The sequence below is a fragment of the Homo sapiens genome, chromosome 15 (assembly GCF_000001405.40).
Source record: "Homo sapiens chromosome 15, GRCh38.p14 Primary Assembly".
In the NCBI taxonomy this organism is placed as follows: domain Eukaryota; kingdom Metazoa; phylum Chordata; class Mammalia; order Primates; family Hominidae; genus Homo; species Homo sapiens.
The window spans coordinates 20,236,634-20,261,347 of NC_000015.10; the positions used below are offsets into that span (position 1 = coordinate 20,236,634).

Sequence of the window (24,714 nt, forward strand, 5' to 3'; positions counted from 1 at the left end):
TCAAATATCATCCCTGTGCAATGATTCTCAAATATTTATTTCTAGCTCTGATTTCTTCCTCGAACTGAAGACTTCACATCCAATCTCCTCCTTTATGCTTACGTCTGACTGCTAATAGCTTCTGAAACATTCAAAACATGACTCTTGATTTCTCTCCTTCACCTCCCTCACACCCATTACCCATCATTATGAAAAATAACCAGGCCGGGCATGGTGGCTAATGCCTGTAATCCCAACACTTTGGGAGGTGGAGGTGGAAGGATCGCTTAAGGCCAGGAGTTTGAGGCCAACCTTGGCAATATGTCAAGGACCCATCTCTACCAAAAAAAATTTACAATAGGTAAATAAACAAATTAGCCAGGCATAGTGGTACACACCTGTAGTTCCAGCTACTCGGGAGGCTGAGGCAAAAGGATTGCCTCAGCCCAGGAAGTCAAGGCTCTAGTGAGCTATGATTGCACCACTGCATTCCAGCCAAGCAACAGAGTGAGACCCTGTCTCAAAAAAAAAAAAAAAAAAACAAAAACAAACAAACAAAAAAAAAAAAAAACAAGAGAAAAAGGAAATTAAAGGTAGAAAAATAACCACTACCCATGAGATTGATCAAGCCAAAAACTGAGGCCTCACCTCCCTGTTCACTGTCTCCTTTACACAAATCATCCACAAATCCCCCATCAGCTCTACCTCCAAACTATGTCCCAGGGACACTCACGTCTCTCCAACTCTACAGCCACCCCCATCACCTCAGCCACTAACGTCACCAGCCTGGACAACTGCCATGGCCAGTCTCCGGCAGCAGACGCACTTCTAAAACAAACATCACACCATGCCGCTCCCCTTCTGAAAAGGCCCAGTGGCTTCCAAGCTCCCACCACTGCCACCGAGGCCTCCTTCCTACCTCACTTCCCACGGCTCCCTTCCTTGTCCTGGTGCTCTTGCCAAAAGGCCTTTCTTTGGCCTCTCTGGTAGGAGAAGCTTATTCTGCTGCAGGGGCCCTGTACCTGTAGGTGCCCCTGCCCAGAAGGCCTTTCTTGTCTCTCTGCCACTGGCTCGAACCTCCTGGTCACTCTCATGTCTGTTCCAGCCCTGCCTAGATAGAGTCTCACCTCCTCCCCAGTCATTCCACCCCATTACAGGTCTTTTTTCCTTTACAACACTTATCAAAATCCTGACCATTTATTTGCTGACTTAGTGCCAGCTTCGTGGGGGGCGGCAGGGACCTTACCTGTGTAATGTAAACTGGAGCTCTGACACCTAAGAGAGTGTCTGGCACCCAATTGATCCTCAATCAATATTTGTTGAATGAATAAATGACTGTTGTTACAGAGGGAAGGTCGAGGGTACGTCATTAAGTGTGGCAAAGTGCAGAGGAGAACGTCATTGAGTGTGGCATGAACGCTAGCACTTGGGGAAAATTTTAGGGTTTTTTTGCAGACAGAGTCTCACTCTGTTGCCCAGGCTGGAGTGCAATGGCGTGATCTCCACTCACTGCAACCTCCACCTCCCAAATTATTCTCCTGCCTCAGCCTCCTGAGTAGCTGGGGTTACAGGCGCACACCACCATGTCCAGCTAATTTTTATATTTTCAGTAGAGACAGGGTTTGCCTTGTTGGTCAGGCTGGTCTTGAACTCCTGACTTCAAGCAATCCACACACCTCAGCCTCCAAAAGTACTCAGATTACAAACATGAGCACCGTGCCCAGCCTCACCTGGGGAAAATTAAAGGTGGTAACTGTGCAGGTGAACTTGAGAGACTCAAATGCTTCCCAAATCTCCCAGAACATGGCTGACATTGCCTCTAGGGTGTACAGAGGGATTGTCTTAACTTTCACAGGTCATCTTAAGCTCTTCTGTACCATTAGAATTTTTTTTTTGTTTTTTGTTTTTTTCACTATGAGTATGTATTACTTTTGTAATTAAACAATTTGATCAGAAAAATAGATCAGTTGATTATTTTATCTACAGGATATTTTTAAAAGTTTGCTAGCAGGGTGCAGTGGCTCATGCCTGTAATCCCAGCACTTTGGGAGGCCAAGGTGAGAGGATGGCTTGAGCCCAGGAGTTCAAGATCAGTCTTGGCAACACAGCGAGAACCTGTCTCTACAAAAAATAAAGAATGGGCTGGGCATGGTGGCTCACACCTGTAATCCCAGCACTCTGGGAGGCCGAGGCAGGTGGATCACGAGGTCAGGAGATCGAGACCATCCTGGCTAACATGGTGAGACCCCATCTCTACTAAAAATACAAAAAATTAGCCAGGCACATTGGCAGGCGCCTGTAGTCCCAGCTACTTGGGAGGCTGAGGCAGGAGAATGGCGTGAACCTGGGAGGCAGAGCTTGCAGTGAGCCGAGATTGCACAACTGCACTCCAGCCTGGGTGACAGAGCGAGACTCCATCTCAAAAAAAATAATAAAAAAAAAAATGAATAAATAAATAAATAATGAGCCAGGGGTGGTAGTGGGTGCCTATAACTCCAGGTGCTCATGTGGCTGAGGTGGGAGGATCACTTAAACCCAGGAGATAGAGGCTGCAGTAAGCCATGATCATACCACTGCAAACCAGCCTGTCTTTAAAAAGAAAAAGTTTGCCAATTTTCTCTTTGACCCAAGGTGAGCACATTACAGTGATTACAAGCCTGGGAGTCCAGTCATTTGTACCATGTTACACAGGCAGGAGACAGAGGGTCTGATAAACACCTCTGGGGCTGAACTCATGCAGATTTCACTCCACACCACTACTGACTGCCCAGGGAGGTGTCAGTGCTCACCATGGATGATGTGGAGTCCAGGAGGCTCACAACTTTCATCTCGATCTCGTCCTCACCAAAGCTCTTCAGCAGCTTCATAACCTCACTCACCGTCAGCCACTTACAATCCACAAGCTGAATGGAGACAATATAATCTCCTCCCCGGGCTCCTGCCACCTGAAAAAGTATTGTTGAAAATAAGTCAACGTTTTGTTCACTCAAATCCTTGAATCAGTCCCCATTAACAAAATAGGTATTTGCGTAAGTTCGCATCAAGAAAGCAAAAATTCACTTTGGGTGGCTGAGACGGGTAGATCACTTGAGGTCAGTAGTTCAAGACCAGCCTGAACAACACGGTGAAACCCATCTCTACTAAAAATACAAAAATCTGCCAGGTGTGGTGGTGGGCACCTGTAGTCCTAGCTACCTGGGACGCTGAGGCAGGAGAATTGCTTGAACCCGGGAGGCAGACATTGCAGTAAGCCGAAATCGTGCCACTGCCCTCCAGCCTGGGTGCAATTAAAAAAAAAAAAGTCAAAATTGGCCAGGCACAGTGGCTCACGCCTATAATCCTAGCACTCTGGGAGGCCAAGGCAGACAGAATACTTGAGGCCAGGAGTTTGAGACTAGCCTGGCCAACATGGCAAAACCCCGTTTCTACTAAAAATACAAAAATTAGGCCGGGCCAGGTGGCTCACACTTGTAATCCCAGCACTTTGGGAGGCTGAGGTGGGCAGATCACAAGATCAGGAGATCAAGACCATCCTGGCTAACACGGTGAAACCCCGTCTCTACTAAAAACACACAAAAAATTAGCCGGGCATGGTGGCACGCACCTGTAATCCCAGCTACTCAGCAGGTGGAGGCAGGAGAATTACTTGAACCCAGGAGGTGGAGGTTGCAGTGAACCAAGATCGCGCCACTGCACTCTAGCCTGGGCGACAGAGCGAGACTGTGTCTCAAAAAACAAAAACAAAAACTAAAATTAGCTGAGTCTGGTGGCACGTGCCTGTAATCCCAGCTACTCAGGAAGCTGAGACAGGAGAATCACTTGAACCCAGGAAGCAGAAGCTGCAGTGAGCCCTGAGATCGCGCCACTGCATGATGACGACTCACTGCAGCCTCCACCTCCCAACGTCTAAAAAAATACTAAAAACAAAATAAAGACAGTAAAAATTAATCCTTTTCTTTTAGGGAATGTAGCACCCATGAGGCCTTTCACATCAAGTCAGGCCTTTGACGTGGGTGAACCCGCCCTAAATTCAATCACCCAGATATCTGTATTTGCTGCCAACCAAGAAAAGCATGTGCTTACCAAGGCAGAGCAGTAAGGATCCAGGAAGTGAACCTCAACGGGGGCGTTCCCTCTTAAGGTGAACCCCAAGTCCCCTTCTTCTGCGGTGAAGCGGTTGCTTCGAGGAGGCATCCACTGCTTGTTAGCCAAAAACACAGATAAGGGGCCCTTTGGAAGAGAGCATCGTTAGGTGTAGGATTTGAAGGCTAGATCAGACGCTTGAAAGCTAAAGGGAATTTTGCCTGCTGTCCTTGAAGATCTCACTTGGCCTTGTTCAGGGACAAATGACACATCTGGGGGCATACATGCTACAGCAGTCATGCAAGAAGCTGGAAAGCCATCTTCTCAAACATACCCAATATATTTTCAATAAAATTATCTTTTAGACATTGTATTAATTATCTTTTTCTTTTCTTTTTTTTTGAGACATTGTCTCACTCTATCACCCAGGCTAGAGTGTGGTGGTGTGATCTCGGTTCACTGCAGCCTCTGCCTCCCGGGTTCAAGTAATTCTCCTGAGTAGCTGGAATTACAGGTGCGAACCACCATGCCTGGCTAATTTTTGTATTTTTAGCAGAGATGGGGTTTCACCATGTTGGCCAGGCTGGTCTCAAACTCCTGACCTCAGGTGATCCGCCCGCCTCAGCCTCCCAAAGTGCTGGGATTAAAGACGTGAGCCACTGCACCCAGCCAAAATTATCTTAAATAAAATCTCTAATATAAACAATTTAAGACCAGGCATGTCATGCCTGTAATCCTAAGCACTTTGTGTGACCAAGGCAGAAGGATTGCTTGAGGCCAGAGGTTTGAGACCAGCTTGGGCAACATAGCGGGAACCATTCTCTACTAAAAACATAAAAGAATTAGCCAGGCATGGTGGTGCACGCCTATGGTTCCATCTACTCAGGCTGCTGAGGCAGGAGGACTTCTTGAGCCCAGCAGTTCGAGGCTTCAGTGAACTGATTGTGCCACTGCACTCCAGCCTGGGTGAAAACAGAGTTAGACCCTGTCTAAAAAAAAAAAAAAAAAAAGGAAAAAAATCTCAGGTCAGGCATAGTGGCTCATACCTGTAATCCCAGCACTCTGGGATGCCTAGGCAGGAGGATGGTTGGAGCCCAGGAGTTTGAGACCAGCCTAGGCAACATAGCAAGACCCCATCTCTACAAGAAATAAAAATTAGTTGGACGTGGTGGTGTTTGCCTGTAGTCCCATCTACTAGGGTAGCTAAGGTAGGAGGATCGCTTGAGCCCAGAAGGTTCAGGCTGCAGTGAGCTATGACCATGCCACTGTAATCCAGCCTAGGTGACACAGTGAGACCACATCTCTAAAAAAAATTAAAAAATATTTTAAAAAATTTCAAATAGACAATACCTAAAAACTACTTTTAAAATATGCTATGGGGCCGGGCACAGTGGCTCAGGCCTATAATCCCAGCACTTTGAGAGGCCGAGGTGAGTGGATCACTGGAGCCCAGGAGTTCAAGATCAGCCTGGCCAACATGGTGAAACCCTGTCTCTACTAAAAATACAAAATTAGCTGAGCATAGTGGCACAGGCCTGTAATCTCGACTACTCGGGAGGCTGAAGCTGGAGAATCACTTGAACCTGGGAGGTGGAGGCTGCACTGAGCCGAGATCGCACCACTGCACTCCAGCCTGGGCAACAGAGTGAGACTCTGTCTCAAAAAACAAATAAATAAAAATAAATGAATAAAATAAAATATGCTATGGTCTGAATGTTTGTACCCTCCCAAAGTTTGTATATTAAAACATTAAAATTTTATTAATATTTATTAAAATTTAAAATGTATATTAAAATCATCAATGTAATTATTAGGAAGTGGGGCCTCTTGAGAGGTGATTCAGTCTTGGGGTGGAGCCCTCAAGAATGGGATACATGCTTTTAAAACAGGCCCAAGGGAGCTCATCACCTTTTCTGCCATGAGGACACAGGTAGAAGGCCCCACCTATAAACCAGAACATGGGCCTTCAGCAGATACCAAATCTGCCAATACCTTGGTCTTGGACTTCCCAGCCTCCAGAACTGAGAAATATATTTCTACTGTTCATAAGCCACCCAGTTTGAGGCATTTTGTTATAGCAGCCCACATGGACTAAGACACCATACTCACCAAAGTGAAGAGCTGTCCCTTTAGGTCATTTATGTAGAGAGCTTTCAACATACCAGCTTCTAGAAGAAGTCCGTGACTGTCAGCTTGGAGAACTGGGGTAATATAATGTCAACCTCTTGCTCAGTTTTAGCTAGAATAGAGGATTAGAAATGGGAGGATAAATGTTTCTGTAATTGAAAGTGATCCTTATAGCCCGGTGTTGTGGCTCACGCCTGTAATCCCAGCACTTTGGGAGGCCGAGGCAGGTGGATCAATGAGGCCAGAAGTTCAAGACCAGTCTGGCCAGCATGGTGAAACCCCGTCTCTATTAAAAATACAAAAATTAGCCAGGTATGGTGGCAGGCGACTGTAATCCGAGTTACTTGGGAGGCTGAGGCAGGAGAATCACTTGAACCCAGGAGGCAGAGGTTGCAGTGAGTTGAAGTCTTGCCACTGCACTCCAGCCTGGTGACAGAGTAAGACTCCAGGGGGGGAAAAAAGAAAGTGATCCTTGGGAAGGAGACAGTACAGAACTTTCTCTTAGTCACACATCCTTCCCCTCGGTTTAGACAAGTAGTACAAGAAGATGGAACACAGCTCAACCCCCGACCTAGGTTGAACTCTACCTTCCATTTGGGTACCTCCTGTGAGCCATAGGAGGTATAACTCATTCCTGAGCTGGGACCAAGGAGTGATAACCAGACACATTCCCATGGGGTTTCCTGATATTTAAGGGGCTTAGTGGGCTTCTCTGGCACTCATAAAACCCTAATGAGGAGGCTGGGCACGGGGGCTAATGCTTGTAATCCCAGCACTTTGGGAGGCCGCGGTGGGAGGATCATCTGAGGTCAAGAGTTCAAGACCAGCCTGGCCAACATGATGAAACCCCATCTCTACTAAAAATACAAAAAATTAGCCAGGCGTGGTGGCACGCACCTGTAGTACCAGCTACTTGGGAGGCTGAGGCTTGAACCAGGGAGGCAGAGGTTGCAGTGAGCTGAGATCACACCACTGCACTCCAGCCTGGGTGACAAGAGCAAAACGACCTCTCAAAAACAAACAAACAAACAAAAAACCTATTGAGAAGTCATCTATGTTTCAAGTATTATTGTTATGGAAGTTCCATGCCTCACTGGACACAGTCCTGGGATATTGAGCTTTCTGTTTTCAACATTATTACTATTTTGAGACAGGGTGTCGCTCTGTCGCGCAAGCTGGAGTGCAGTGGTGCGATCACAGCTCTCTTGCAGCTTGACCTCCTGGACTCAAATGATTCTCCTGCCTCAGCCTCCCGAGTAGCTGGAACTATAGGTATGCACCACCACACCTGATGAATTTTTTTTAAATTTTTTGTAGAGATGGGGTCTCACTATGTTGCCCAGGCTGGTCTCAAACTCCTGAGCTCAAGTAATCCTCCTGCCTCGGCCTCCCAAAGTGCTGAGATTAGAGGTTTGAGCCACCGTGCTTGACCTTTTCATTATTAATGTGGTATGAGGATTTCCCAGTGAAAAGGAGGTTTGGCAAATCATAACCATTGACAGCTACATACCCCCACCAGCATCTTCACAGCAGGCTCGGACTACCCTTAACATAAGGCTGGTCAATTTCTAACAAAGGATCCCAGGGCAGGCTGATTCTACACGAGAACAAATAGCATAAAAAGTGTATCTAGGCCAGGTGTGGTGGCTTACTCTGGTAATCCCAGCACTTTGGGAGGCCAAGGCAGGCGGATCACTTGAGGTCAGGAGTTCGAGACCAGCCTGGCCAACATGGTGAAACCCCATCTTTACTAAAAATCCAAAAATTAGTTGGGCGTGGTGGTGGGCGCTTGTAATCCCAGCTCCTCGGGAGGCTGAGGCAGAAGAATCACTTGAACCCGGGAAGCAGAGGTTGCAGTGAGCCGAGATCATGCCACTGCACTCCAGCCTGGGCAACAGAGCGAGACTCCATCTCAAAAAGAAAAGAGAACTCCAGGGCGAAATAAGCACCTCGGTCCCTGCCCTGTGCAGCCCTCCCTGTGCCAAGCACACAGCGAGGGCTCGCTCAACCCCCACAGGCCAGGCGTACTCTTTCCGCGGCACAGGCACCCCCACAGAGGGAACACAGTCTAGGTTACTCACCAACAACACTGGGGGCGTGGATCAGGTTCAGCAGGTCATCATCCTCCTGGTGCTGGGCGTACGTGAGCCGGGAGCGTTCCTGTGCGGCACACAGCACCTTCTGTAGCACCTCAATGCTCCGCAGCTTCTTGCAGAGGCTGGCCTCCCGCACTGACTCCTCGTGATGAGCCATGGCTCTGTGCAGGTGGGACTTCCCCGCAGATGGAAGCCAGCACCCACGTGACCTGCAGATCCACCAAGCAGAGCATAAGGGCCCAAGGGGCAGCCCAAGAGGTTGGACGTTCTCTTTTCTAAAGAATCTGCCTGGATAGCTAGAGCCCGTGATACCCTACCTTGTTTTAACCTGAGTGACTCTCTCCTAGCAGAGAGAGCCGGACAGACTCCATTTTAGTTTCTTCACTTGCAGCCCCCTTTATCCCCCTTAAGGGAATAACTAGTGTAAGCTGACTCCAAGCACATCCAGGAACGCAAACTGCTGATAAGATACTGAGGCAGGCTGTACCAGCAGCTCCTGGGGATGTGCTCAGTGGCAGGTACCTAAAGCCCCTGCATTTATCTCTCAGTGATAGTTTAAGCCCCTGCACCTGGAACTGTTTATTTTTTGTAACTGCTTCTATAACCAATTACTTTTTTTAACTTCTTGCCTATTCTGCTTCTGTAAAATTGCTTCAGTTAAACCCCCCTCCCCTATTTAGACCATAGTATAAAAGAAAATCTAGCCCCTTCTTCAGGCCCGAGAGAATTTCGAGCATTAGCCGTCTCTCAGTTGCCGGCTAATAAATGACTCCTGAATTAGTCTCAAAGTGTGGCGTTTCTCTACAACTCGCTTGGTTACAACAAGCCTTTTATTAAAATATTATTTTATTTCATTTTATATTTTATATTTAGAGACAGGGTCTCACTTTGTTTCGCATGCTGGAGTACAGTGGTGCAATCATGGCTTACCACAGCCTCAAACTCCTGGGCTCAACTGAAATTCCCACTTCTGACTCTTGAGTAGCTGGGACCACAGGCATGCACCACCACACTTGGATAATGTTTTCATTATCATTATCATTTCATTATCATTGCTATGTTGCCCAGGCTGGTCTCAAACTCCTGGCCTCAAGCAATCCACCTGCCTTAGCCTCCCAGAGTGCTGGGATGACAGACGTGAGTCACCACGCCCAGCCCAAGCCTCCCTTAAATGCATATGTAATAAGCTCACTTGTGTCCATAAGATGTTCACTCAACAAATATTTACCAAATGTGTTAGGCACTAGAGATAAAGCAACGAGTAAACAAACTGCCCCCACATTCATGGAGTTTACATGTAGTGATTGAAGACAGATAACTAACAAGACAAGAAATATGTAATGGATGGGGTGGTGATGAGGTTATAGAGAAAAATAAAGCAGGGTAAGCAGAGATGGTAGGAGAAGACTGGGAATGGGGTTGTCCTATGATGGGTGACCAAGAAAGGCTTTTTTTTTTTTTTTCTTGAGACGGAGTCTCACTCTGTCACCCAGGCTGGAATGCAGTGGCACGATCTTGGCTCACTGCAACCTCCGCCTCCCAGGTTCAAGCGACTCTCCCACCTCAGCCTCCCAAGTAGCTGGGATTACAGGCACACACCACCACATCTGGCTAAGTGTATTTTTGGTAGAGACGGGGTTTCTCCATGTCGCCCAGGCTGGTCTCAAACTCCTGACTTCAAGCTATCCTCCCACCTCAGCCTCCCAAAGTGCTGGGATTGCAGGCATGAGCCACCACACCCAGCCAAGGAAGGCTTTGTGATATGGTCTTTGTGAGCAGAGCCCTGATGGATGTGAAAGAGCAGCAGGTGCGAGGGCCCTGGAGCAGGGGCACGCACAGGTGTTCAAGGGCAAGGAGAAGCTAAGGTGTGCCTGGAGGCAGGGAGGGCGGGACAGAATGAGTGCAGGGAAGGAGCAAGGCCAGATCATGGCGGATCTCACGCGTGCAAGATAAGGGCTCTCACTCCTGTTCTGCTTGAGATGGGAGCCCACTGGGGTGTGAGCAGGAGACTGATGTGATCTGGCCTGCATGACCAGACTCTGAAGGGGCAGCAAGAAAACCAGCTATGAGCAGGGCAAGCCACGTGACCGCTCTGGGTCTCAGTTTCCTCAGCTGTAAAATGGGGATGCCATGAGACCCACCTCATAGTGTTGCGTGGGGTTTAAGTGAGTAAATGTTTCTTACATAAGCACTGTACACATGTGGCTTCCACCAGGGCAGCAGGGTTAAAGTGGCCAGATTTGAGTGTGTCTTCTAGGTACAGCCAAAGGGATTTGCTAATCAAATGTAGGGTGAGAAAGTAAGACAAGAGGTTAGGTGTGGTGGCTCGTGCCTGTAAACCCAGCTCTTTGGGAGACAGAGGCAGGAGGATCGCTGGAGGCCAGGAGTTCAAAACCAGCCTGGGCAACATAGTGAGACGGCATCTCTACAAAAACCTTTTTACAATATTAGCCGGGCATGGTGGTGCATGCCTATAGTCCCATCTACTCAGCAGGCTGAGGCAGGAGGATCACTTGAAGCCAGGAGTTCGAGGCTGCACTGAGCTGTGATTGCACTACTGCACTGCAGCCTGGGGGACAGCAAGACGCTGTCAAAGAAAGCAAATGAAAGAAAAGGAAAGAGGAAAGGAGGGAAGAAGGGTAGATGGGGAGGAGAGAAAGAGAGAAAGAAAGAAAGAATAAAGGAGAGGAAAGGAAAGGGAAAGAAAAGGAAAGCAACAAGGAACAAGAAAAGGGGAGGAGAGGGGAGGGGATGAGGGGAGAGGGGAGGGGATGAGGGGAGAGGGGAAGGGTGAGGGGAGAGGAGGAAGGATGAGAGGAGAGGGGAGGGGAGAGGAGGAGAAAGGGGAGTGAAGGGGAGGTGGGAGAGGGGAGGAGAGGAGAGGAGGGGAAGGATGGGAAGGGAGGGGAGGGGAGAAAGGGAAGGGAGGGGAGGAGAGGGAGGAGGGGAGGAGAGGAGAGGGAGGAGGGGAGGAGAGGGGAGGGGAGGAGAGGGGGGAGGAGAGGGAGGAGGAGAGGAGAGGGAGGACAGAGGAGAGAGGAGAGGGAGGACGGTGGAGAGAGGAGAGCAGGGGAGGGGAGAAGAGAGGGGAGAGAAGGGGAGAGGAGGGGAGGGGAGGGTAACAGAGGGGAGGGAAGAGGAGGGGAGAGAACGGGACAGGAGGGGAGGGGAGGGGAGCAGAGGGGAGAGGAGGGGAAAGAGGAGGAAAGAAAAGAAGAGTGGAGAGTGAGTCCAAGGTTTCTGGCCTGAGCACCTAGAGGGGTGGGAGTTGCCATCACTGAGACGGGGAAGCTGCGTATGTGTGCGTGGGGGCAGATTAGGGTGGTGGAGGTGAGGTCTGCACATGGGAAGAGATAGTCACACTGAGACATGGCAGAGACCAAACCAGGACACTTCATTACCAGTCATTAGGTGTTCTTGGTAATTCAGCCATGCATAAAGAAATCAACAAACGTTTCCTTCCCTGTTAGCATGATACAGGCCACCCTATGGACCCCAAGGGAGATGGTTAAAGTCCTGGCTCCACAGTGGGAGGCCTGGGTGCTATGGAACCCATGAGAACACAGCCTGGGAAGCCCTCTGAGGCTCAGGACTGCACCTCATGACTTCTGAACCCAAAGTGGCCACGATGACTTGGAACACCCCCCTCTCCCAGGCCCTCTTCAGGGACCTCTCTGTGGCTGTCTGTGAGCAGGATCAGCTGGGCACAAAGTGGGACCCACATGTGGATGCAGAGGGACACACACCCAGCTGTCGGCGCTGCTGATCATTCTTCAGTGTGGCCAAGGGTGTCAGCCCCTCTGGCATGTGGTCGTAGAGCTGGGACAGGCACTTCTCCTGGTGGTCCAGATCCATGCCTGGCTTCACTGCAAAGAGAACCACAGGTTAAATCCCCTCTCATGGATCTGGCCACAGACCCACATAGAGATTTCTCTTTCTACCATGTCTCTAGTTTCCTTTCTTCTGCAGTTTCACAAGGCATTTGGGATCCTCGCTCTCCTTTCTGCCCCTGGACACACCCCAGGCAGTCTGACCCTCAAGCTTTTTTTTTCTTTGAGACGGTCTCACTCTGTCACTCAGGTTGGAGTGTGGTCTCACTCTGTCACCAGGCTGGAGTGCAATGGCACAATCATAGTTCACTGCAGCCTTGAACTCCTGGGCTCAAGTGATCCTCCCACCTCAGCCTCCTGAGTAGTTAGGACTACAGACATGCACCACCACATGCCAGGCCAATTTTTAAATTTTTTTGTAAAGATGAGGTCTTGCTACATTGCCCAGGCTGGTCTCAAACCCCTGGGTTCAAATGATCCTCCTGCCTTAGCCTCCCAAATTGCTGGGATCAAATGTGTGAGCCACCATGCCTGGCTACCCCGAAGCTCTTGCTCATTGGAACCAGTCATGCTCCAGAGGTTCAGAATTTTTTTTTTTTTTGAGATGGAGTTTTGCTCTGTCGCCCAGGCTTGGGTGCAGTGGGGTGATCTTGGCTCACTGCAACCTCCACCTCCCGGGTTCAAGTGATTCTCCTGCCTCAGCCTCCCGAGTAGCTGGGATTACAGGCACGTGCCACTATGCCCAGCTAATTTTTCTATTTTTAGTAGAGACGGGGTTTCAGCATCTTGGCCAGGCTGGTCTCGAACTCCTGACCTCATGATCCACCCAGCTCGGCCTCCCAAAGTGCTGGGATTGTAGGTGTGAACCACCACACCCGGTGAGGTTCATAATTTGACCCTGAGCCCCCACACGCTACCTCCTCTGACTCACCCACCACACAGAACCTCCTAGCATAGCCCAGACCCTGTCATGCCTGGCCTGCACCCCTCTGCAGGCCTGCACCCCTCTGCAGGCCTGCACACCTGCAGCACAGCCCCTTCCTGCTTCAACCACACCCTCCCTGGTGCATATCCTGCTCTCAAACCTCACAAAACCACTCTCCACTTCCCCAGCACCCTCGGCCTCTATTCCTGTGCTCAGACACTTTACTCCCTCTAGGCTGACCCTGCCCTCCTGTGCAGATGGAAAAGTTGAACTCAAATGTCACCGCCTCTGAGAAGCCATCAATGACTGCACCATGGAGTCCACCTTCTGCTGCATTTGTGTCTCTGCAGCAATCACCAAGGCACTATATGGTATTTCTATTTGTTTCCACATCTTGTCTCACCTAATAGACTGTATAGTACTAGGAGTGGTGGCTCACACTTTCAGAGAACCTACAGCATATAAAGCATTATTGAGCTTTGCATACAGGCCCTTCATTTTCATGACAGCCTGTGAGGTAGAGTCTCTCCATATACCCATTTTACAGATGAGAAAATCGAGGCAGAGGACAGCTAAGTAACTTGCCCAAGGTAATACAGCTCATTCATGGCAGAGCTGAGATATGAACCCAGGAAGTCTGGCTCCAGAGGCTGTCTTTTTAATTCCTCAGGAGGCTGCCTGGATTAGTACTCATTAGATCAAAAATCCCTGGCCAGGCACCGTGGCTCATGCCTGTAATGCCAACACTTTGGGGAGGCCAAGGCAGGACAATTGCTTGAGGCCAGGAGTTTGAAACCAACCTAGGCAACATAGTGAGACTCCATCTCTACAAAAAAAATTTTTTTCAATTAACTGGTGTAGTGTCATGTGCCTGTAGTCCCAGGTATTCAGGAGGCTGAAGTAGGAGGATCGCTTGAGCCCAGGAGTTCAAGAAGGCAGTGAGCCATGATCATACCACTGCACTCCAGCCCCACCCCAAAAAATAAATTAAATTAAATTAAATTAAATTAAATTAAATTAAATTCTGATCATCACAGATTTTTTTTGCATTAATTTTTATTTTATTATTATTTGTTTTTTTGAGATGGAGTCTTGCTCTGCTGTCCAGGCTGGAGTGCGGTGGCACAATCTCGGCTCACTGCAACCTCCACCTCCCCGGCCCAAGCCATTCTCCTGCCTCAGTCACCAGAGTAGCTGGGATTAGAGGCACACGCCATGCCCGGCTAATTTTCGTATTTTCAGTAGAGACAGAGTTTCACCTTGTTGGCCAGGCTGGTCTCGAACTCCTGACCTCAAATGATCTGCCTGCCTTGGCCTTCCAAAGTGCTGGGATTACAGGCGTGAGCCACTGTACCCGGCCTGCATTAATTTGGATTCTTTTAAAATATTACCTTAAAATGTTACCTATCTTGATGCCAGCATTTTTGGCATTCCCTTAGATTCTAGATTCCAGGTGAAAATTCATCCTCTTGCACACAGGCAGAATTAAAGGTGCCTCCTCTTCCTCTCTCTAAAGAAGCTTATAACCCCTAACCCCACCATGGCCTGTGCAGCAGCTGCCTCAGTCATGGGTCATTCTCATCCTCTGCCTTCAGCCTGTGAGCATCTCCAGGGAAGGCAGTTAGCTCTCGCTCAGCTCAGAATCACCCCTGGGGCAGCTGGACCACAGCCCTGGCCAAACCCCTGAACCCCACAGGCCTTACCCTGGTGGTCAATGAGGAGGATGGCAGTGAAGTAGTGGGCCAGCGCCGTGTAGTGGTGGGCCTTCACGCAGGCCAAGCTGGCCCAGGAGTAGGGGATGTTCTCTTTCACCAGCGCCTGGCTCATGGCTGCGTGCAGCTGTTGGTAGACCTCTCCCACCTGAAATAGAAGGGGCATTGGGAAGGGGCAGCCCGGCACAAGGGCCCTCATGAACCCATTTGCAGAGAAAGAGCCCTTTCTTCTTCTCATGCAACAGCCCCTGCCAGGGGCTGCTCCAGAATCTGGGAGCAACTCCAAGCAACCCCTCATTCTGTCACTGTCACAGTTAACAGGGGGATCAGGCTGCTGTCATTATGCTGGTTTTTAGGTTAAGCTGCACATGGAATCAGTGATCCGTATCTGAAACACCAACACTTGCCAAGAAAACTCAAGCCAGCAGTACTGGCCGGAGCTGGCACAATGCCCAGGTCACAGGCAAGCTCCCGTGGGAAGGCCCCGCTACTTCCAGTGCTCCTGTGCCAGCATTTACCGCCCACTCCCCAAAGTCACAGGAACCAGGGAGTCTTACCTTGGCAGCCTCCTGAGCCACCTTCACCAGCATGAAGAATTCATTCCGGATCCCAGGAAGGCTGATTTTCTCAAACACGCTTTCTTGGGCTTGTGTAAGCATCATTTTGACAAGCACGCTGAGCATGGCAGGGCTCATGTCGTAACTTGGAGTATGGGTAAATGTCTCTTTCAGGTAGTTTAAAACCCCTAAAAGTGGAAAATGTTTTGCCCATTAGTTCGGGTTTACATTTACTTCATCACGTTGCTGTAGAGAAAGATAGGAGGCCAGGTGCGGTGGCTCATGCCCATAATCCCAACACTTTGGGAGGCCAAAGCGAGCAGATCACTTGCATCAGGAATTTAAGACCAGTGTGGGCAACATGGTGAAACCCTGTCTCTACAAAAAATACAAAAATTAGCTGGGTGTGATGGCGTGCACCTATAGTCTCAGCTCCTCTGGAGGCTGAGGCAGGAGGATTGCTTGAGCCCAGGAGACAGAGGTTGCAGTGAGCTGATATCTCACCACTGCACTCCAGACTCCGTCTCAAAAAAAAAAAAAAAAAAAAAAAAAGGAAAGATAGGAGAAAAAAAAAAGAACCAGTGTCCTACAACATATTAAAAAGTTTGATTCTCAATTATATGGTCCAGCAATTCCACTCTTATGATATATATCCCCAAACAGTTGAAAGTGGGGGCTTAAATGATACTTGAACACCTGTGTTAATAGCAACATTATTCACAAGAGCTGAAAAGTGGAAACCACCCAGACATCCATGAGCAGATGAATGATTAAACACAATGTGGCCTATCCATACAATGGAATATTTTTCAGCCTTAAAAAGGAATGAAATTCTGACATATGGTACAGTGTAAATAAGGGCATTATGCTAAGTGAAACAAGCCAGTCACAAAAGGACCAATATTGTAGGATTCCATTTAGATAAGGTACCCGGAATAGTCAAATTCACAGAAACAGAAAGGAGAATAGAGGTTAGCTGGGGCTGGGAAAGGGGGCAATGGGAAGTTATTGCTTAACTGAGTAAGTACAGAGCTTTGCTTATCCATCATCCAGATGGAAAAGTTCCGGAGATAGCTGGTCACAGGGGCTGCTGCCTATAATCCCAGCTACAAGGGAGGCTGAGGTGGGAGGGTTGCTTGACATTAAGAGTTCAAGACCAGCCTGGGCAACATACTGAGACCCCTGTCTCTTAAAAAAATATATACTTTTTAAAAATGTATTTATTTTATTTATTTTTGAGACAAGATCACACTCTGTTGCCCAGACTGGAGTGCAGTGGCACGATCATGACTCACTGCAGCCTCAAACTCCTGGGCTCAAGAGGTCCTCCCACCTCAGTCTCCTGAAGAGCTGGGACTACAGCCATGCACCACCCCACACCCAGCTAATTTTAAAATTTTTTGTACAGATGGGGTGTGCCTATGTTGCCCAGACTGGTCTCCAACTCTTGGATTCAAGTGATCCTCCTGACTCAGCATCCTAAAGTACTGAGATTACAGGTGTGAGCCACCTTGCCTAACCAACAAAAAAAATTTTTAACTTCCGGAGATGTTTAGTGGTAATGGCTGCACAACACTATGAATGTACAAATGCACTTAATGCCATTGAACTGCACACTTCAAAATGGTTAAAATGTGCTTCTGGTTGGCAGATAATTTTAAAATTTTAAAAATTTAAGATAATCATTAAAATGGTAATTTTATGTTCTGTGTTATTTTACTATAATAAAAAACTGGTTAAAATAGTCCATTTTAAGTTATATATGTATATTTTAACACTATTTATTTATTTATTTATAAATAAGCGCCCAGGCTGGAGTGCAGTGGCATGATTTCAGCTCACCGAAACCTCTGCCTCCCAGGTTCAAGCGATCCCCCTGCCTCAGCCCCCCAAGTAGCAGGGATTACAGGTGCCCACCACCACACCTAGCTAATTTTTGTATTTTTAGTACAGACGGGGTTTCACCATGTTGGCCAGACTGGTCTTGAACTCCTGACCTCAGGTGATCTGCCTGCCTCAGCCACCCAAAGTGCTGGGATAACAGGTGTGAGCCACCCCACCCAGCCTTTTAACCCAATTTTTTAAAATTGGATTGTCTTCCAAAACACTTACATCTCTATTGAGTAGAGAAACCAGCCTGCTCCCCACAACTCCTGTGTCACCTGGGACAAAATTCCATCATGACAGGTATGGAGATGCAAGCAGACAGCAGGCAGAAGGACTGAGGGGCTCACAGGCGGCCAGGCTCACACATAAGATCTGAGTCATTCAGCAGTCCAGGGCTTTTCCCCTGGACCTCAAGAAAGATCTATTCTGGCCAGGTGCGGTGGCTCATGCCTCTAATCCCAGCACTTTGGGAGGCCGAGGCGGGTGGATCACCTGAGGTCAGGTTCAAGACCAGCCTGGCCAACATGGCAAAACCCTGCCTCTACTAAAATTATAAAAATTAGCCAGGCATGATGGTACACACCTATAATCCCAGCTACTCAGGAGGCTGAGGTAGGAGAATCACTTGAACCCGGGAAGCGGAGGCTGCAATGAGCCGAGATCTCACCACTGCACTCCAACCTGGGTGACAGAGTGAGATTCCATCTCAAAAAAAAAAAAAAAAAAACTCAATCCGTCTGCTCCAATGGAAATTTTCATGCTGCAGCCTTCCACTGACTTCTTTATAGTTTAGAAAATTAACTGTCCAAAGCGCTAACTGACAATCAATCTGGAACTGAAATAGAGTCTCTCATATGAATCCCATCCAACTGGGTCCTCTGGTTTTGTTGCTGAGCAAAAAAAAAAAAAAAAAAAAAAAAAAAAAATCCCCACCCTGTGGAGGGATGGCACCTGCTGTTTTGAGCTGTGAGCTCCGTGGGGGTTCCCTCACCCTCCCCACTGTTCTCCCACTTGCTTCATTTCATCTATAATTTGTCTCCACTGCTATAATCTCAGTGACAGGACACAGAGTGCCTGCCTAAGATTCCCCAGAAAGATGAGTCCAGAAAAAAGATTTACAACAAAAGAAATCAACTCATACTTGGAATCTTAGCATATCGCTTCATCCCAAGAGACCAATCTTTCATTTTTTTAATTAATTAATTATTTTTTGAGACAGGTTCTTGCTCTGTCGCCCAGGCTGGAGTGCAATGGCACGATCTTGGCTTACCACAACCTTGGCTGATCCTTCCATCTCAGCCTCCCAAGTAGCTGAGACTACAGGCATGCACCACCAGGCCCAGCTAATTTTTGTACTTTTTGTAGAGATGGAGTTTTGCCTTGTTGCCCAGGCTGATCTCAAATTCCTGAGCTCCAGCAATCCACCCACCTCAGCCTCCTAAAGTGCTGGGATTACAGGCATGAGCCACCATGCCTGGCCTATTTCTTGAATTAAAAAAAAAATTCTTTTTGACAATCATAGCTCACTGCAGCCTCAAACTCCTGGGCTTAAGTGATCCTCCTGTCTTAGCCTCTGGAGTAGCTAGAACTATGGGCGTACACCACCATGCCTGGCTAATTTTAAATATTTTGTAGAGACAGGGTCTTCCTGTGTGGCCCAGGCTGGTAGGACCAATCATTGTAACATCAGAAATTTCACAATGAGTTGAAGTGGCAAAGCTCTGGTTCTTCACAAGCTTGCAGGGCAAAGTGATATCAAACAATGATCCACATGGGTGGAAGGGGATCACACCCCAAAGCAGAATGTCGATGATCAACCTAGAAGGCAACACACTATAGAGCTAGTGTGGAGAACACACTGTGGTCTACACTGTGCCCTGCTCTTGCATCCATCCCCACGGGGAGTCTGACCCAGACACAGGCCCTGCTATGGGGGAGCAAGGCAGAACCCGTAGGCAAGGGTGAGCCGTGCCAGGCTCACCCACAGCACTGGGTCTGGTGACCCCGGTCCTCTACAGGTGTAAGCACTAGGTTGCTTTTCTCCTCGACCCCGCACCTCGTTCTCATACTAGGATTACCTGAGGTCAGGAGTTTGAGACCAGCCTGGCCAACAGGGCAAAACCTCATCTCTACTAAAAATACAAAAATTAGCCGGGCATGGTGGCAGACGCCTGTAATCCCAGCTACTTGGGAGGCTGAGGCAGAAGAGTTGCTTGAACCCAGCAGGCAGAGGTCGCAGTGAGCAGAGATTGTGCCACTGCACTCCAGGCTGGGTGACAAGAGCAAGACTCTATCTCAAAATAAACAAATAAATAAAATAAAATAACAAAAGACAGTTCCCAGAAGAAGGGAACTGAGCTATGAGACATCCTTTGAATGCATCACTTGACCAAGGGTTGAGAACACCCACCTCATGCTGGAGAAGTTGGCAGAATGCAGGTGACATAAAGGCATGGAGGGGCAGGGTGCGGTGGCTCACCCTGTAATCCCAGCATTTTGGGAGGCTGAGGCAGGCGGAACACCTGAGGTCAGGAATTCGAGACCAGCCTGGCCAGGATGGTGAGACCCCATCTCCACTAAAAATACAAAAATTAGCCGGGCGTGGTAGCGAGTGCCTGTAATCCCAGCTACTCAGGAGGCTGAGGCAGGAGAATCGCTTGAAACTGGGAGGTTTCAAGCAGTGAGCCAACATTGCGCCACTGCACTCCAGCCTGGGCGACAAGGGCAAAACTCCATCTCATAAATAAATAAATAAATAAATAAATAAATAAATAAATAAAGGCACGGAGAGTAATATGCACAGATAGGGTACACCTAATACAAGAAAAAGAAGCCTACAGTTTCACTATTTGGGAAAAGTTATTCTGCTCTTCATGACAGTGTTGAAAGAAACAGTTATGCACTGCCATCCCAGGGCCACTTGTCTGGAAAAGATCAATCATCAGCCACAGGATTCACCATGTACATCAGCCATCCCAGACTGAGGTCTGAACCACCAAGCAAGTTTCTTTTTTTTTTTTTTGAGATGGAGTCTGGCTCTGTCGCCCAGGCTGGAGTGCAGTGGCGCGATCTCGGCTCACTGCAAGCTCCGCCTCCCGGGTTCATGCCATTCTCCTGCCTCAGCCTCCCGAGTAGCTGGGAATACAGGTGCCCGCCACCAGGCCCAGCTAATTTTGTGAATTTTTAGTAGAGATGGGGTTTCACCATGTTAGCCAGGATGGTCTCGATCTCCTGACCTTCGTGATCCACCTGCCTCAGCCTCCCAAAGTGCTGGGATTACAGGCATGAGCCACCGCGCCCGGCCAGAGCAAGTTTCTTAATGGGAAGTTACACCAGAGCTGAAGACTGGTCTGGCCCTTGCAGGGGACGACCTGTAGACCCTCTTCAGTGGGGGGTCCCCTGGTGCCACCAGGCGGGGCCAAGGCTCTGTCCAGTCAGCCCTGGAGGAGACATACCTGCAGCTCTCTGAAAGGCATCTATGGCACTCTGCAGCCCAGCCTGCATCTGCCAATAGCGCCACGTCCCAATCTGGGTGTAGAGGGCCCCAGTGTTGAACAGGACACTGGCCTTCTCCAGCAGCAGGTTCTGCTGGCTGACCAGAACCCCATTGAGGGAGTCATACCTATGTGAAAGAAATGCATTCAGGGAGTACAGATTACTTGGCTAGTTAATGCTACTTTTGGATGCAAGTGGAAAAAATTATTATTATTATTTTATTTATTTATTTTTTTTGAGACAGAGTCTCACTCTGTCGCCCAGGCTGGAGTGCAGTGGCGTGATCTCGGCTCACTGCAAGCTCTGCCTCCCAGGTTCACGCCATTCTCCTGCCTCAGCCTCCCAAGTAGCTGGGACTATAGGCACCCGCCACCACGCCCAGCTAATTTTTTGTATTTTTAGTAGAGACAGGGTTTCACCGTTTTAGCCAGGATGGTCTCGATCTCCTGACCTCATGATCCGCCCACCTCAGCCTCCCAAAGTGCTGGGATTACAGGCGTGAGCCACTGTGCCTGGCTCTATTATTATTTTTTTAAGAGTCAGGATCTCACTCTGTTGCCCAGGCTGGAGTGCAGTGGTGTGATCATAGCTTACTGCAGCCTCCAACTTTAGGGCTCAATTGATCCTCCCACCTCAGCCTCATGAGAATAGCTGGGATTACAGGTGCATGCCACCATACCTGCCTAATTTTTTTTTTTAATTTTTGTAGAGATGGGGTCTCACTATGTTACCCAAACTGCTGTTAAACTCCTGGGTTGGCTGGGTGTGGTGGCTCACACCTGTAATCCCAGCACTTTGGGAGGCTAAGGCGGGTGGATCACCTGAAGTCAGGAGTTCGAGACCAGCCTGGCCAAGATGGTGAAACCCAGTCTCCACTAAAAATACAAAAATTAGCCAGGCATGGTGGCAGGCACCTGTAATCCCAGCTACTCAGGAGGCTGAGGCGGGAGAATTGCTTGAACCCGAGAGGTGGAGGTTACAGTGAGATGAGATTGCACCGCTGTGCTCCAGCCTGGGTGACAATAACAACAACAACAAACTCATTTCTTCAATAAAATTCAAGAATGCACATGCACTGAGGCTTTTGTTTCCAAGCAAGATGACAGGACTAATCGCACTGACCGCCACAGCCACACACACAAATATCTGATGGGGTAACTTTATAAACACAGCATGGGACATCCAGACAATGGACTATTACTCAGTACTAAAAATGGAGCCTTTTCAAGCAAGCCTTGAAAAGATGCAGAGGAAACATTACTAAGAGCCAACCTGAACGTTGCTACCTACTGTATAGCACGCTGTGTGAGTCCAACATTCTGAAAAGCCAAAAACCCGGGAGACAGAAGAAAGATCAGGGGTTGCCAGGACTTAGGGGGAGGGAGGGAGGAACGGCAGAGCACACGGAGGATTTTTCCAGCAGTGAAACTCTTCTGTACGACACTGCAAAGATGGATCACTGTCACTCTATGTTGGCCAAAAGCTGCAGAATACACAAGTACAAGAATGAACCCTAATGGGAACTATGGACTCTGGGTGATAATGATGTGTCAGGTAAGTTCCTCAATTATAAAAAAAAAAAAAAAATGCGCCAGGTGCGATGGCTCATGCCTGTAATCCCAGCACTTTGGGAGCCCGAGGCAGGCAGATCACAAGGCCAGGGATTGAGACCAGCCTGGCCAACGTGGTGAAACCCCATCTCTACTAAAAATACAAAAATTAGCCAGGCGTGGTGGGGCACACCTGTAGTCCCAGCTACTCAGGAGGCTGAGGCAGAAGAATCACTTGAACCCAGGAGGCGGAGGTTGCAGTGAGCCGAGATCACGCCACTGTCCTCCAGCCTAGGCAACAGAGCAAGACTCCGTCTCAAAAAAAAAAAAAAAAAAAAAAGGGCCAGGTGCAGTGGCTTACACTTGTAATCCCAGCACTTTAGAGGCCAAGGCAGGTGGATGGCTTGAGCTCAGGAGTTTGAGACCAGCCTGGGCAACATAGTGAAACCCCTCTCTACCAAAAATACATGGTGGTGGCATGTGCCTTTAAGCCCAGCTACTTGGGAGGCTGAGGTGGGAAGATGGCTTGATACTGGGAGGCAGAAGTTGAAGTGAGCTGAGATCACACCACCACACTCCAGCCTGGGCGACAGAGTGAGACTCCGTCTCAAAAAAAAAAAAAAAAGAAAAGTGTGTGTGTATATATATATAGCTTCTCCTAAATGAAATATGGCAATTACTAACCCCTCATAATTCTTTCTGAAATCTAAAACCTCAGGATTTGTTTTACTTGTTTATTTTTTCAGACCAAGTCTCACTCTGTTGCCTAGGCTGGAGTGCAGTGGCATGATCATGACTCACTGCAGCCTCAACCTCCTGGGCTTAAGCGATCCTCTCATCTGATCCTCCCAAGGAGATGGGACTACAGGCATGTGCCACCCATGCCTGGCACATTTTCTCTAATTGTTTTGTAGAGATGGGGTCTCACTGTGTTGCCTAGACTGGTCTCAAACTCCTGGGCTCAAGTGATCCACCAACCTCGGCCTCCCAACATGCTGGGATTCCAGATGTGAACCACCACACCCAGCCTAGGACTTGTATTATTTATTTATTTTTTTTTTAATTTTTATTTTTTGAGACAAAGTTTTGCTCTTTCACCCAGGCTGGAGTGCAGTGGCGCCATCTCAGCTCACTGCAGCTTCTGCTTCCCGGGTTCAAGCAATGGTCCTGCCTCAGCCTCCTGAGTGGCTGGGATTACAGGCGCCCACCACCACACCCGGCTAATTTTTGTATTTTTAGTAGAGACATGTTTGTCAGGCTGGTCTCGAACTCCCGACCTCAGGTGATCCACCCACCTCGGCCTCCCAAAGTGCTAGGATTACAGGTGTGAGCCACCGCACCTGGCCCTAGGACTTGTTTTAAAGTTTACTCATGAACCAAGGGGTGTGCAGACAGCTTCTCCCTAATTCATGACTAAGGAGAAACCACCTTTCACCATGCAGACAGCCTGGTGCATTGTTAGGAAAAGTCATCCCCCTTTCCTTTGCTTTCAATGAGGAAGGCATCAGTAGCCAACCATCGGCTATAGAAACATTCAATTCTGATATGCCCCGACCTTCTAGGATGTACTCTCCTTTCACTGACACTCCTAAAAACACTCAGAGAAGGGGTGCAGCATCTCCAAAGTACTTTTTTTTTAGGTTGTTGGTGTTTTTTTTTTTTTTTAATACAGACTCTCACTCTGTTGCCCAGGCTGGAGTTCAGTGGTGCAATCTTGGCTCACTGCAACCTCTGCCTCCCAGGTTCAAGTGATTTTCCTGCCTCAGCCTCCCAAGTAGCTGGGACTACAGGCACGCACAACCATGCCCAGCTAATTTTTGTATTTTTTAGTAGAAGCAGGGTTTCACCATATTGGACAGGCTGGCCTCGAACTCCTGACCTCGTGATCCACCTGCCTCGGCCTCTCAAAGTGCTGGGATTACAGGTGTGAACCACCACACTCAGCCTTTTTTTTTCTTTTTTGAAACAGGGTTTCACTCCTATCACCCAGGCTGCAGTGCGGTGGTGTGATCTAGGCTCACTGCAACCTCTGCCTCCCAGGCTCAAGTGATTCTCTTGCCTCAGCCTCACGAGTACCTGGGACTACAGGTGCATACCATCGTACCCAGCAAATTTTTGTATTGTTTGTAGATATGGGGTTTTGCCACATTGCCCAGGCTGGTCTCAAACTCCTGGGGTCAAGTGATCTGCTTGCCTCAGCCTCCCAAAGTGTTGGCATTATAGGTGTGAAAACCACTGTACCCGGGCTCCCAAGTATTTAAAGTATACTAATCTTTGAAAACACCAATTGGGTCTACGGCCATACCACCCTGACGTGCCTGATCTTGTCTGAAAATACCAATTGTGGAGAAGAATCAAATCCTCTACTTCCATTTTTTAAATCTGATCCAAGCTGAGTGTGTAGCTCATGCCTATAGTCCCAGCTACTCAGGAGGCTGAGGCAGAAATATCACCTGAGCCCAGGAATTCAAGA

General features: G+C 48.5%; 1 pseudogene, besides 1 other annotated feature; it reads right to left on the minus strand.

Moving 5' to 3' along the window:
• RHPN2P1 (rhophilin Rho GTPase binding protein 2 pseudogene 1) overlaps positions 1-24,714 on the minus strand; it is a 48,446-nt pseudogene that overhangs the window by 8,215 nt on the left and 15,517 nt on the right.
• Positions 7,789-8,290: an enhancer, noted in NCBI's record as "H3K4me1 hESC enhancer chr15:20449675-20450176 (GRCh37/hg19 assembly coordinates)". NCBI's record gives its function as "activates a minimal SCP1, AML or CMV promoter by ChIP-STARR-seq in naive H9 embryonic stem cells {active_cell/tissue: H9 hESC(naive)}" and the evidence as "EXISTENCE:reporter gene assay evidence [ECO:0000049][PMID:30033119]".